The sequence below is a fragment of the Homo sapiens genome, chromosome 3 (genome assembly GCF_000001405.40).
Source record: "Homo sapiens chromosome 3, GRCh38.p14 Primary Assembly".
Taxonomy (NCBI): domain Eukaryota; kingdom Metazoa; phylum Chordata; class Mammalia; order Primates; family Hominidae; genus Homo; species Homo sapiens.
Window position 1 is genome coordinate 96926417 of NC_000003.12, and position 15751 is coordinate 96942167.

A 15751-nucleotide genomic window follows, 5' to 3' on the forward strand; every position below is an offset into this window, starting at 1 on the left:
TCTTCTTGCATTTCAAAACCAATCATGCATTCCCAACAGTCTTCCAAAGTCTTAACTCATTTCAGCATTAACCTAAATGTCCAATTCCAAAGTCTCATCTGAGACAAGACAAGTTCCTTCTGCCTAGGAGCTTGTAAAATAACAGTTACTTTCAAGATACAGTGGGGGCACAGGTATTGGATAAATGCTCTTACTCTAAATGGGAGAAATTGGCCAAAACAAAGGGGCTACAGGCCCCATGCAAGTCCAAACATTAGCATGGCAGTTCTTAAATCTTAAAGCTCTGAAATGATCTTCTTTGACTTTATGTCTCACATCCAGGACATGCTGATGCAAGGGGTGGGCTCCCATGGCCTTGGCTTTGCAGGGTACAGCCCCCCAGCTGGTTTTATGGCTGACCCTGTATGTCTGCAGCTTTTCTGGGTGCACTGTGCAAACTGTCAGTGGATCTACCATTCTGGGGTCTAAAGAACAGTGGCCCTATTGTCACAGCTGCACTAGGCAGTGCCCCAGTAGGGACTCTGTGTGGGGGCGTCAACCCCACATTTTCCTACTGTACTACCCTAGCAAAGGTTCTCCATGAAGGCTCAGCCCCTGCAGCAGACTTTATACTGGACATCTGAGCATTTCCATACATTCTCTGAAATGCAGGCAGAGGTTCCCGAACCTTAATTCTTGACTTTTGTGCACCCGTAGGCCTAACACCACATGTAAGCCGGCAAGGCTTGGGGCTTGCACCCACTGAAGCAACAGCCGGAGCTGTACCTTGGCCTCTTTTAGCCACGACTGGAGCAGTTAGGATGCAGGGCTCCAAGTCCCATAGCTGCACAAAGCAGCTGAGCCCTGGGCCTGGCCCAGGAAACCATTTTTCCCTTCTAGGCCTTAGAGCCTATGATGGGAAGGACTGCTGTGAAGGTCTCTGGCATGCCCTGGAAACATTTTCTCCATTGTCTCAGATATTAACATTCAGCTCCTTGTTACTTATGCACATTTCTGCAGAAAATGGGTTTTTCTTTTCTATCACATTGTCAGGCTGCAAATTTTCTAAATGTTTTTACTCTTTTCTTTTAAACATAAGTTCCAGTTTCAGATAATCTCTCTCCAGTTCAAAGTTCCACTTATCTCTAGGGTGGGGGCAAAATGCTGCCAGTGTCTTTGCTAAAGCATAGTAAGAGTGACCTTTGCTCCAGTTCCCAATAATTTTCTCATCTCCATCTGAGACCACCTCAGCCTGGACTTCATTGTCCATGTCATTATCAGCATTTTGGTCAAAACCATTCAGTAAGTCTCTAGGAGGTTCCAAATTTTCCCTCATCTCCCTGTTACCCTGTTCCAAAGTCACTTCCACATTTTCAGGTTGTCTTTATAGAAGTGCCCCACTCCGGGTACCAATTTCCTGTATTCGTCCATTTTCACACTGCTATAAAGATACTACCTGAGATCAGGTAATGTATAAACCAAGGAAGTTTAATTTACTCACAGTTCTGCAGGGCTGGGCAGGCCTCAGAAACATTTAACTCATGGCAGAAGGGGAAACAGTTACGTCTTACAGGGTGGCAGGCAAGAAAGCGAGTGTGTGAAGGAGGAACTATGAAACTTTTGCAAAACTATCAGATCCCATGAGAACTCAGTCACTGTCAGGAGAACAGCATAGGGTGAACCACCCCCATGACATGATCACCTCTCGCCAGGTCCTTCCCTGGACATGTGGAGATTATACAGATTATAATTCAGATGAGATTTGTGTGGGGACACAGAGCCAGACCATATCAGTTCTCAAGTTCTTTTAGTTGTGATGTTAGGTTGTTAGCTTGAGATCCTTCTAGCTTTTTGATATGAGCATTTAGTGCTATAAATTTACCTCTTAACACTGCTTTAGCTGCATCCCAGAGATTCTGGTATATTAGCTGTTTGTTATCATTAGTTTCAAATAACTTGATTTTTGCGTTAATTTCATTATTTACGCGAAAGTCATTCAGGAGCAGGTTGTTCAATTTGCATGTAGTTGTGTGGTTTTGAGTGAGTTTAATCTTTAGTTCTAATTTGATTACACTGTGGCCTGAGAGACAGTTTGTTATGATTTTAGTTATTTTGCATTTGCTTTGGAGTATTTTACTTCTGATTGTGTGTCAATTTGAGAGTAAGTGCCGTGCGGTGATGAGAAGAATGTATATTCTGTTATTTTTGGGTGGAGAGTTCTGTAGGTATCTAACAGGTCCACTTGACTCAGAGCTGAGTTCAGGTCCTGAATATTTTTGTTAATTTCCTCTCTTGATGACTTGTTTAATATTGTCAGTGGGGTGGTAAAGTCTCCCACTATTATTGTGTGGGAGTCTAAGTCTCTTTGAAGGTCTCTAAGATCTTGCTTTATGAATCTGGGTGCTCCTCTATTGGGTGCATATATATTTAGAATAATTAGCATTTCTTATTGGATTGAACTCTTTACCATTATGTAATACCCTTCTTTGTCTTTTTTTATCTTTGTTGGTTTAAAGTCTTTTGTCAAAAACTAGGATTATAACCCCTGCTTTTTTCTGTTTTCCATTTGCTTGGTTAATTATCCTCAGTCTCAATATTTTGAGCCTTTGTGTGTCTTTGCATGTGAGATGAGTCTCTTGAAGACAACATATCAATGGGTCTTGGCTTTTTATCCAGCTTGAAGATGACATACCAATGGGTCTTGGCCTTATATCCAACAGCCTGAGCTGTACCTTGGCCTCCTTTAGCCACAACTGGAGCTCAAGTGGTTAGAGTTTAGGGCACCAAGTCCCACAGCCATTCTGTGTCTTTTAATCGGGACATTTAGCCCATTTTCTTTTAAGATTAGTATTGTTATACATGGATTCAATACTGCCATCATGATGCTAGCTAGTTATTTTGCAGACTTGTTTACATGGTTGCTTCAGAGTGTTGCTGCTTTGTGTACCTCAGTGTGTTTTAATATTGGCTGCTAATGGTTTTTCCTTTCCGTATTTAGTGCTTCCTTCAGGAGCCCTTGCAAGGCAGGTCACATGATGACGAATTCCCTCAGCATTTGCTTATCTGAAAAGGATTGTATTTCTCCTTCACTTATGAAGCTTAGTTTGGACTGATATGAAATTCTGGGTTGGCAGTTTTCTTTTTTAAATATTGGCCCCCAGTCTCTTCTGGCTTGTAGAGTTTCTCCTGAGAGGTCTGCCGTTCGTCTGTTGGGCTTCCCTTTGTAGGTGACCTGGCCTTTCTTTCTGGCTGCTCTTAACATTTTTTCTTTCATTTCAACCTTGAAGACTGTGATGATTATATGTGTTGGGGTCGATCTTCTTGTGGAGTATTTTACTGGGGTTCTCTTCATTTCCTGAATTTGAATGTTGGCCTCTCTTATTAGGCTGGGGAAGTTCTCCTGGATGATATTCTGAAGTGTGTTTTCCAAGTTGATTCCATTCTCCTTGTCTCTTTCAGGTACCCCAAGCAGTCATAGGTTTGGTCTCTTTACATAATCCCGTATGTCTCAGAGGTTTTATTTATTCATTCTTTTTTGTCTTTTCTTGGCTGCTTCTCTTATTTTAGAAAGATATTCTCAGGCTGAGATTCTTTCCACAGCTTAGCCAATTCTGCTTTTAATACTTGTGATTGCGTTGTGAAGTTCTTATAGTGTGTTTTTCAGGTCTAACAGGTTAATTGTACTTCTCTCTAAATTGGCTATTTTGGTTGTCAGCTCCTGTATTGTTTCATCATAATTCTTAGCTGCTTTGCATTGGGTTACAATATGTTACTTTAGCTCAGCAAAGTTTGTTATTACCTACCTTCTGAAGGCTATTTCTGTCATTTCAGCCATCTCAGCCTCAGCTCAGTTCTGAGCCCTTACTGGAGAGGTGTTGCAGTCATTTGGAGAAGGGGCACTCTATATTTTTGAGTTTTACTATTTTTGTGTTGATTTTTTCCATCTTTATGGGGTCTTTAAGGTTGCTGACCTTTGAATGGGGTTTTTGTGGGGTCTTTTGTGTTGATGTTGTTTTCTGTTTATTTGTTTTTCTTTTAACAGTCAGAACACCCTTCTATAGGGCTGCTGCAGGTTGCTGTGGGTCCCCTCTATACCAAGGTTGCCTTAGATTTTCCAGTACCTGCAGGTATCATAATTGAAGGCTGTGAAACAGCAAACATTGTAGCCTCCTCCTTCTGGAAGCTCCATCCCAGGGGAGTACTAATTCATTTCCAGCCTGAACATGCCTGTAGGAGGTGGCCGGAGACCCGAACTGGGAGGCCTCACCCAGTCAAGGGGAACAGGGTCAGTAACCTGCTTAAAATAAGCTGTCTAGCTGGGCCTGGTGGCTCATGCCTGTAATCCCGGAACTTTGGGAGGCTGAGGTGGGCAGATCACCTAAGGTCAGGCATTCTAGACCAGCCTGGACAACATGGTGAAAACCCATCTCTACTAAAAATACAAAAATTAGCCAGGCATGGTGGCATGCGCCTGTAATCCCAGCTATTCAGTGGACCGAGACAGGAGAATCACTTGAACCTGGGAGGCGGAGGTTGTGGTGAGCCAAGGTCACAACATTGCACTACAGCCTGGGTGACAGAGTGAGACTCTGTCTCCAAAAAAAAAAAAAAAAAAAAAAAAAAAAAGAAAAGCTTTCTGGCTGCTTTTTGGTAGAGCAAGTGTGCCATTTTGGGGATCCCTTCAGCCCTGATTGTTATGGGTTTTCCAGGGCCCACAGGCTGGACTGACTGAGGTACCTGAACAACCAAGGTGGTGGCCTGCCCCACCTCCCAGCCATTTTGTCTTAGATGGAAATTAGAGCTCTGTTCATAGAAAACTGTCTGAGTCCCAGCTGAAGCCCTGGCTGGGAGGTCCCACCCAGTGAGGAGGAATGGATCAGGGTCCTGCTTTAAGAAGCAGCTGCCATCTGGCAAAGCAGCTGTGCTGCACTGGGGGAACCCTTTCTTGTCTGGACTGTTTGGACTCTCAAAAGCCAGCAGGCTGAGATGGCTGAGTCCACCTAACCACAGAGATGGTGGCCTCACCTCCCCCCAGGGACTCCATTTTAGGTAGAGGTCAGAGCTCTGTCTGTAGAAAACTGGCTGGGGTGGCTGAAGCCTGGCTGGGAGCCCCCATTTAGTGAGGAGGAATAGATCAGGGTCCCACTTAAAGAAGCAGTCTGGCCATGGTGTAGCAAAGCAGCTATGCTGCACTAAGGGGACCCTTTCATCCAGACTGTTTGCACTCTCCAAAGACAGCAGGCTGGAATGGCTGAGTCAACAGAACTGCACAGATAGTAGCTGCCTTTTCCCCTGGGAGCTCCTTCCCCTCTCAGACAGGCTCCACCCTGTCGCCATTGGCTGGCTGGAATTTCAAACCAGTGAGTCTTATCTTGTGAGGTATCATGGAAGTGGGGCCCTCAGAATACCGCTGCTTGGCTCCCTGGATTCAGCCCGCTTCCTAGGGATATGCATGGACCTCTTGCCTTACCAGAGTTGCACACACCCTTGTTGAGGATCCTAGAGCCAGAGTAGGGTCTCTGTGTGTGCCTGAGCAGCTGCTCTGCTGGCCCTCCACACAGCTACAGAGCTGTGTGGGTCCATTGGACCCTAGGCCCTCATGCCGTGGGCTCATGAGGGGATATCCTGATCTATGTTGCAAAGATCCATGGGAGGAGATTGGTTTCCTGGCAGGGTCACACAGTCATTCACTGCCTCCCTTGGTTGGGGGTGGGGGTTCCTTGGCTGTATTCCAGGGTGGGCCATCACTCTACCCTGCTTTTCTTCATTCTCTGTGGATTGAGTTGTTTGCCTAATCAGTCCCAATGTGAGAACCTGGATATTACGGTTAAAGGTACTATATTCATTCACCCCTTTCATTCCTCTATGTGAGTAGTGTGGACTGCAGCTGCTTTTAATTGGCCATCTTGGCCCCTCCATGCAATTCATTCAACTTTTTATCCTTTGTTTATCCTTTACTCTTTTGGGAGAAAATTTTCAAAATAAATATTTTAAAAACACAGAATGTACTTCAATTATTCAGCTTACCTTTTACATTTACTTTACCAAAATCCTTTAAAAAGAGAGAACTGGTTTTCTATTATTTAACATATATTCACATTACTTAAACCATACAAATTAGAAATAATGAAAAATAATTATGAATGTTCAGTAGAATTTATCTGCAGGATTTAGAAGACATTAAATTGCTTTAGTATGTCCTCCTGTAACCAAACCCAGGTTCAGCTCCCCACTGCTTGAAAGCCAGACAGGAGAGACAGTGGTTAGTAGGAAGGAAAGCAGGTTTATTTGGAAAGCCGGAGAGTTAGCAAACTGAGCAGATGGTGGACTATAATCACAGATTAGTTCACCACCATCTCTAAAATGCGTAATTGTAAAAAATAGTGTGTTTTTGTTTTTTGGCTGTTTTTAAAGTTTTAAAAATATTTTAAACATATATGTATTTTAAAAATATTAATGTCATAATAAAACATGCAAAACGATTTATCTGGTTAACATATGCTTCTCTATGTATGATCTGAAAAATTTTTTTTAATTTACTATAGGATTTTTAAAGGGAAACTTGGTATGGGAAAGATACAGGAGTGGTACAGGGTGCAGAGTCTATGTGTCTTTGTTCCAATGGCTTATCTTGGGTAATCATCCATCTGGACGTCAAGATGGCATTATTTTGACTTCAGCCCCTTGGTGGTAGACTAATTCTTCGCAACCCCCCTTAAGCAGGAGGATTCCTCAATCAGGGCTCCATTCCTGGTTTGTTTCGAAATTAGCCTCTGGAATTTCCTAAGCAAGGACATAACTGTTAAGTACATATTGCCAGAGGGAAGTGTCTAGCGAGGGGCAAAGGAAGAAGGGGTAAAATGGGAGGGAAAGAAGAAGAAAGTAGGTGATTAAAATATATTTTTAAAAATGAGGTCCTGGTTACATTCCTCTGACTAACAATATATTTAATTATTGTATTTCCAAGTTTCTAAAATTGCAGGTTTTTGTTACTTACCTAATTAATTTTTTAGCTAAATATGTTTATAAAAACTTTAGTTTAACTATTTTCATGATTTTGGAATGTAGACTTTGACACAGGCAAATATATGGACAGCAAATAGTTAAGTTTCTTAGAATTTTCCTAACTCTACTTTGATTTCCAAAATTCTACAAGTGAAATTAGTTATAACAGAATTCTCTTGTAATTGTACAGTTTTGTTAACACCTTGTAAGAAGTGGGAAAGTAAGAAAGATTCATGATCAAATTGCAAATCGCTATGAAAGTACAAAACAGTTTAGGATTTGAGAGTTTCTTAGAAGAAGAATTTAGTTATGAATTTTAAGGACACAGAGTAAGTTTATTATTATAAATTTTAAAGTGAAATAGGAAGGTTAAATATGTGACACAAATAGTTGTGAACTGAGGAATCAGAGAAGAGAGAGAGTATGGATATTTAATATGTTTTGGGTAACATAAAGAACATGATGATTATCCTGTTGTGTAACAGGAAATGACCAGATGATAGTTGTCATTATTTGGAAGAAATGGCTTGGTATTTTATGACTCAATTTTTATAACAATTGATGAAAAAGGCTCTGAAGTGATTTGAGGTGATATTATTATTTTATGTACCAAATAAATTTGATATTTATTACAACCAAAATAATTGGTTCATATTGTTCATGCTAAAATAAGCTATTTGTTAATAGCTTCATTTTAAAAATATGAAATACCTTTTTCTATTTTAATGGGTTCTATTCACAGGGGCAAGTAAATTTACACATACTTAAGCCACAAAGAAGGGTGTTTATAAATAGAATACTTCACTTTGATTGAGTAGGCCATTTTATTTTAACTTAAATGTCCTGGGAGGTAGTAACAATTTCTATCAGATTTTTTTCCTTGCAGATCTAATCTTCATTTCTGTTTTTAGAGTTTATTCTTTATGATCCATTTTTTATTTTATCTTATACCATTATTATTAAATATATTAGCACATTTGGTATTTCTAATTTTAGTTGTAAATTACCACTTCTATAAGTGATCATTTGTTTCCAGAACTATTTTTTCTGCATACCTTATTATTTTATTAACCATGGTTTTAAAATAATCAAATACAAATTTCTAGAATTATTAGACAAAATATAGTAAGCAGAACTAGCTACTTTACTGGTTTTTTGTTGTGTTAAACTACCTATTGAGTATAATTTTACCCTGTGTATAACTATGTTATAATAATATGGTGATTGGGTACAGGAATATTTGTAAAAATTACTTTATATTGTTTACATTATTTACATTATTTTCAAATATTAATGGTTTATATAAAATTATAAACTAAGGGGAATAATTAGAAAGGCCAATGAAATTTAAATAAAATTCACAAATTAAGTACCATAAAATAATCACATAATTCAAATGTCCTTTTCCTGAAGGACAATCAATCCTAAATATGAAAATAGAGGTTAGAAAAAACATCCTTTAAGTATAATAGCTTTAAATATTATCTTTGCTCCTAGCATTATAAAATTATCTTCTCCATTACTTGTTTTTAATATACTAACATCATAAAGAAATGGGGATATGATATCATTTATTTTTTATATTAACTTTCAATCATAATATAAAGATTCAAATATTGGTTCTCTAATGTCTACCCAACGCTTGTACAATTTTAAATGATCCAGTAACACTAAGAGCATTTAGATTAATGGTTACTGTTTTAGCAACCTCTCTTCTTCAAATACTTACCATGTTCGTTTTCACTAAACCTGAAGACAATACTCACATTAACAACATTTTTATGTATTTTAGAAATAAACTATAACTAAATTATCAGTAGGTTAACTACCTGAGGAATAGTTCATACTGGGGAAAAATAAAATCAAAATATGTTTTTATTTTCCGATTAACTACTCTGATTATTTGAACAAATTAAGAATGATATATTATTCCAGGATACAATATTATCTTTTCCATTCAAGGTTAAAAATATAACTTGTGATATTTAATTTTGGTTAAACATTTACACATATTTTAACTATTATATGAATATATGTATATGACATATATAAAACTATTATAGGTATTCTACATGGACATACTTTCTCTTACATAATTCATTTCATATATTCTAGATTTTAAAAGACCATATTATATTTAAACATTTTTGAAAATATAATATATAAAGATAGCATATAAAAATTTCCAGATTGTTGTGAAGCATCATATTTCATTTTATATAAAGGTTTCCATCCTAAATATTATATATATTTATAACAGTTCAACTTGCCTTAAACATTATATATACACACATTATGTATATTATATATACATTATATATACATTATATATATATAATATATATGCACACATTATATATATGTGTGTGTGTGTGTAGTCCTAAGGATGTTTCTGATCTAATTTACACATGCCTATTTTCAAATATGTCCTAAGTTGAGTTAATTCAATGTATTTATATTGAGGATATTATTAATATGACACGAGAGGACTCATTAGTGAAAATGAATATTTAGTGTCATACCATATAGCACCTTCATTGTGCAGAGCTGCTAAAACAGTATGGAACAAACCTCCTAAGGAAAATTTGATATAGCTTTCCTATGCTTTTCCAGACCTATTTTCAACACTGCTAAAAGGGGGGAAAATTCAAGAAGGCACTGAAGAGACCACCTCACCAGAACCTGATGTTACTTCTCCTCTGGATGTACATGCTGCAGCTCCATAGGAGCCAGGTTGGAAAAGTTTCTAGGAAAACAACATCTATTTTTTTAAATGGAAAGATATTTTTGTATGGCAATACGTCATTTTAGGCCCCAGAGTTAAGTACATTAAAGTTCACATTTTAGTTTCCACTTAACATTTATTTCTTAAATGTTTTTTAAAACTCAATAAAAAACATTTGGCTTTTCAAAAATATGTTTGAAATGTAATGGTTTTAAAGCATGCAAAATTAGGTAATTAAAAAAGTCATGTATCTGCTTTACATAAACCTAAAAAAAAATCAAGCTGTTATGAATCCATTATAATGATAGAGTATGAAGTTAAATTATAAAATTTATATCAAACTTTTCAAGCTCTTTTGTGTATATTATATAACTGGCAGTGGATAATTTCTGTAATTCTTTTTGTTCTGTACTTCAAGCTCAAGGAAATGTATAATATTGCTCTTGGGTTTTTTTTTGTTGATGTTCTTTTTTTAATTTAATTTAATTTTATTATTATTATACTTTAAGTTTTAGGGTACATGTGCACAATGTGCAGGTTTGTTACATACGTACACATGTGCCATGTTGGTGTGCTGCACCCATTAACTTGTCATTTAGCTTTAGGTATATCTCCTAATGCTATCCCTCACCACTCCTCCGACCCCACAACAGTCCCTGGAGTGTGATATTCCCCTTCCTGTGTCCATGTGTTCTCACTGTTCAATTCCCACCTATGAGTGAGAACATGTGGTGTTTGGTATTTTGTCCTTGCGATAGTTTGCTGAGAATGATGGTTTCCACTTTCATCCATGTCCCTACAAAGGCCATGAACTACTCCTTTTTTATGGCTGCATAGTATTCCATGGTGTATATGTGCCACATTTTCTTAATCAAGTCTATCCTTGTTGGATATTTGGCTTGGTTCCAAGTCTTTGCTATTGTGAATACTGCCACAATAAACATACGTGTGCATGTGTCTTTATAGCAGCACGATTTATAATCCTTTGGGTATATACCCAGTAATGGGATTGCTGGGTCAAATGGTATTTCTAGTTCTAGATCCCTGAGGAATCGCCACACTGACTTCCACAATGGTTGAACTAGTTTATAGTCCCAACAGTGTAAAAGTGTTCCTATTTCTCCACATCCTCTTCAGCACCTGTTGTTTCCTGACTTTTTAATGATCGCCATTCTAATTGGTGTGAGATGGTATCTCATTGTGGTTTTGATTTGCATTTCTCTGATGGCCAGTGATGATGAGCATTTTTTCATGTGTTTTTTGGCTGCATAAATGTCTTCTTTTGAGAAGTGTCTGTTCATATCCTTCGCCCACTTTTTGATGGGGTTGTTTGTTTTTTCTTGTGAATTTGTTGGAGTTCATTGTAGATTCTGGATATTAGCCCTCTGTCAAATGAGTAGTTTGTGAAAATTTTCTCCTATTTTGTAGGTTGCCTGTTCACTCTGATGGTAGTTTCTTTTGCTGTGCAGAAGCTCTTTAGTTTAATTAGATCCATTTTTGTCAATTTTGACTTTTGTTGTCATTGCTTGTGGTGTTTTAGACATGAAGTCCTTGCCCATGCCTATGTCCTGAATGGTATTGCCTAGGTTTTCTTCTAGGGTTTTTATGGTTTTAGGTCTAACATTGAAGTCTTTAATCCATCTTGAATTAATTTTTGTATAAGGTGTAAGGAAGGGATCCAGTTTCAGCTTTCTACATATGGCTAGCCAGTTTTCCCAGCACCATTTATTAAATAGGGAATCCTTTCCCCATTGCTTATTTTTGTCAGGTTTGTCAAAGATCAGATAGTTGTAGATACGCGGCATTATTTCTGAGGGCTCTGTTCTGTTCCATTGGTCTATATCTCTGTTTTAGTAGCAGTACCATGCTGTTTTGGTTACTGTAGCCTTGTAGTATAGTTTGAAGTCAGGTAGTGTGATGCCTCCAGCTTTGTTCTTTTGGCTTAGGATTGACTTGGTGATGCGGGCTCTTTTTTGGTTCCATATGAACTTTAAAGTAGTTTTTTCCAATTCTGTGAAGAAAGTCATTGGTAGCTTGATGGGGATGGCATTGAATCTATAAATTACCTTGGGCAGTATGGCCATTTTCACGATATTGATTCTTCCAACCCATGAGCATGGAATGTTTTTCCATTTCTTTGTATCCTCTTTTATTTCCTTGAGCAGTGGTTTCTAGTTCTCCTTGAAGAGGTCCTTCACATCCCTTGTAAGTTGGATTCCTAGGTATTTTATTCTCTTTGAAGCAATTGTGAATGGGAGTTCACTCATGATTTGGCTCTCTGTTTGTCTGTTGTTGGTGTATAAGAATGCTTGTGATTTTTGTACATTGATTTTGTATCCTGAGACTTTGCTGATGTTGCTTGTCAGCTTAAGGAGATTTTGTGCTGAGACAATGGGATTTTCTAGATATACAATCATGTCATCTGCAAACAGGGACAATTTGACTTCCTCTTTTCCTAATTGAATACTCTTTATTTCCTTTTCCTGCCTAATTGCCCTGGCCAGAACTTCCAACACTATGTTGAATAGGAGTGGTGAGAGAGGGCATCCCTGTCTTGTGCCAGTTTTCAAAGGGAATGCTTCCAGTTTTTGCCCATTCAGTGTGATATTGGCTGTGGGTTTGTCATAGATAGCTCTTATTATTTTGAGATACGTCCCATCAATACCTAATTTATTGAGAGTTTTTAGCATGAAGGGCTGTTGAATTTTGTCAAAGACCTTTTCTGCATCTATTGAGATAATGTGGTTTTTGTCTTTGGTTCTGTTTACATGCTGGATTACATTTATTGATTTGTATGTGTTGAACCAGCCTTGCATCCCAGGGATGAAGCCCACTTGATCATGGTGGATAAGCTTTTTGATGTGCTGCTGGATTTGGTTTGCCAGTATTTTATTGAGGATTTTTGCATCAATGTTCATCAAGGATATTGGTCTAAAATTCTCTTTTTTGGTTGTGTCTCTGCCAGGCTTTGGTATCAGGATGATGCTGGCCTCATAAAGTAAGTGAGGGAGGATTCCCTCTTTTTCTGTTGATTGGAATAGTTTCAGAAGGAATGGTACCAGCTCCTCCTTGTACCTCTGGTAGAATTCGGCTGTGAATCCATCTGGTCCTGGAATCTTTTTCGTTGGTAAGCTATTGATTATTGCCACAATTTCAGAGCCAGTTATTGGTCTATTCAGACATTCAGCTTCTTCCTGTTTTAGTCTTGGGAGGGTGTATGTGTCGAGGAATTTATCCACTTCTTCTAGATTTTCTAGTTTATTTGCGTAGAGATGTTTGTAGTATTCTCTGATGGTAGTTTGTATTTCTGTGGGATCGGTGGTAATATCCCCTTTATCATTTTTATTGCATCTATTGATTCTTCTCTCTTTTCTTCTTTATTAGTCTTGCTAGCAGTCTATCAATTTTGTTGATCTTTTCAAAAAACCAGCTCCTGGATTCATTAACTTTTTGAAGGGTTTTTGTGTCTCTATATCCTTCAGTTCTGCTCTGATGTTAGTTATTTCTTGCCTTGTGCTAGCTTTTGAATGTGTTTGCTCTTGCTTTTCTAGTTCTTTTAATTGTGATGTTAGGGTGTCAATTTAGGATCTTTCTTGTTTCTCTTGTGGGCATTTAGTGCTATAAATTTCCCTCTACACATTGCTTTGAATGCGTCCCAGAGATTCTGGTATGTTGTGTCTTTGTTCCCGTTGGTTTCAAAGAACATCTTTATTTCTGCCTTCATTTTGTTATGTACCCAGTAGTCATTCAGGAGCAGGTTGTTCAGTTTCCATGTAGTTGAGCGGTTTTGAGTGAGTTTCTTAATCCTGAGTTCTAGTTTGATTGCACTGTGGTCTGAGAGACAGTTTGTTATAATTTGTGTTGTTTTACATTTGCTGAGGAGTGCTTTACTTCCAACTATGTGGTTAATTTTGGAATACGTGTGGTGTGGTGCTGAAAAAAAATGTATATTCTGTTGATCTGGGGTGGAGAGTTCTGTAGATGTCTATTAGGTCCACTTGGTGCAGAGCTGAGTTCAATTCCTGGGTATCCTTGTTTACTTTCTGTCTCGATCTGTCTAATGTTGACAGTGTGGTGTTAAAGTCTTCCATTATTATTGTGTGGGAGTCTAAGTATCTTTGTAGATCTCAAAGGACTTGCTTTATGAATCTGGGTGCTCCTGTATTGGGTGCATATATATTTAAGATAGTTAGCTCTTGTTGAATTGATCCCTTTACCATTATGTAATGGCCTTATTTGTCTCTTTTTATCTTTGTTAGTTTAAAGTCTGTTTTATCAGAGACTAGGATTGCAACCCCTGCCTTTTTTTGTTTTCCATTTGCTTGGTAGATCTTCCTCCATCCCTTTCTTTTGAGCCTGTGTGTTTCTCTGCACGTGAGATGGGTTTCCTGAATACAGCACACTGATGGGTCTTGACTCTTTACCCAATTTTCCAGTCTGTGTCTTTTAGTTGGAGCATTTAGTCCATTTACATTTAAGGTTAATATTGTTATGTGTGAATTTGATCCTGTCATTATGATGTTAGCTGGTTATTTTGTTCGTTAGTTGATGCAGTTTCTTCCTAGCCTTGATGGTCTTTACAATTTGGCATGTTTTTGTAGTGGCTGGTACCGGTTGTTCCTTTCCATGTTTAGTGCTTCCTTCAGGAGCTCTTTTAGGGCAGGCCTGGTGGTGACAAAATCTCTCGGCATTTGCTTGTCTGTAAAGGATTTTATTTCTCCTCCACTTATGAAGCTTAGTTTGGCTGGATATGAAATTCTGGGTTGAAAATTCTTTTCTTTAAGAATGTTGGATATTAGTCCCCACTCTCTTCTGGCTTGTAGAGTTTCTGCCGAGAGATCAGCTGTTAGTCTGATGGGCTTCCCTTTGTGGGTAACCCGACCTTTCTCTCTGGCTGCCCTTAACATTTTTTCCTTCATTTCAACTTTGGTGAATCTGACAATTATGTGTCTTGGAGTTGCTCTTCTCGAGGAGTATCTTTGTGGCATTCTCTTTATTTCCTGAATCTAAATGTTGGCCTGCCTTGCTATATTTGGGAAGTTCTCCTGGATAATATCCTGCAGAGTGTTTTCCAACTTGGTTCCATTCTCCCCGTCACTTTCAGATACACCAATCAGTCGTAGATTTGTTCTTTTCACATAGTCCCATATTTCCTGGAGGCTTTGTTCGTTTCTTTTTATTCTTTTTTCTCTAAACTTCCCTTCTCGCTTCATTTCATTCATTTCATCTTCTATCACTGATACCCTTTCTTCCAGTTGATCGCATCGGCTCCTGAGGCTTCTGCATTCTTCACGTAGTTCTCGAGCCTTGGCTTTCAGCTCCATCAGCTCCTTTAAGCACTTCTGTGCATTGGTTATTCTAGTTATACATTCGTCTAATTTTTTTGAAAGTTTTTAACTTCTTTGCCATTGGTTTGAATTTCTTCCTGTAGCTCGGAGTAGTTTGATCGTCTGAAGCCTTCTTCTCTCAACTCGTCAAAGTCATTCTCCGTCCAGCTTTGTTCCATTGCTGGTGAGGAACTGCGTTCCTTTGGAGGAGGAGAGGTGCTCTGCTTTTTAGAGTTTCCAGTTTTTCTGCTCTGTTTTTTCCCCATCTTTGTGGTTTTATCTTGTTTTGGTCTTTGATGATGGTGACGTACAGATGGGTTTTTGGTGTGGATGTCCTTTCTGTTTGTTAGTTTTCCTTCCAACAGACTGGACCCTCAGCTACAGGTCTGTTCGAGTTTGCTAGAGGTCCACTCCAGACCCTGTTTGCCTGGGTACCAGCAGCGGTGGCTGTAGAACAGCGGTGGCTGTAGAACAGCGGATTTTCATGAACGCAAATGCTGCTGCCTGATCGTTGCTCTGGAAGTTTTGTCTCAGAGGAGTATGCAGTCGTGTGAGGTGTCAGTCTGCCCCTACTGGGGGGTGCCTCCCAGTCAGGCTGCTCGGGGGTCAGGGACCCACTTGAGGAGGCAGTCTGCCCATTCTCAGATCTCCAGCTGCGTGCTGGGAGAACCACTACTCTCCTCAAAGCTGTCAGACAGGGGCATTCAAGTCTGCA

General features: G+C 38.6%; 1 protein-coding gene across 14 annotated transcripts in view; it reads left to right on the forward strand.

Annotated features, from left to right (window-relative positions):
• The window catches only part of EPHA6 (EPH receptor A6), a 946939-nt gene that overhangs the window by 111823 nt on the left and 819365 nt on the right, over window positions 1-15751 (forward strand). The window contains exon 2 of one of the 14 annotated variants that reach the window (XM_017006212.1): window positions 9598-9717. The exons of the other annotated variants lie outside the window; for them this stretch is intronic. Coding sequence (XP_016861701.1) covers window positions 9670-9717 — 48 coding nt within the window. The 5' untranslated portion in view covers window positions 9598-9669. The remainder of the gene's footprint in view (window positions 1-9597; window positions 9718-15751) is intronic. 14 annotated transcript variants of the gene reach the window in all.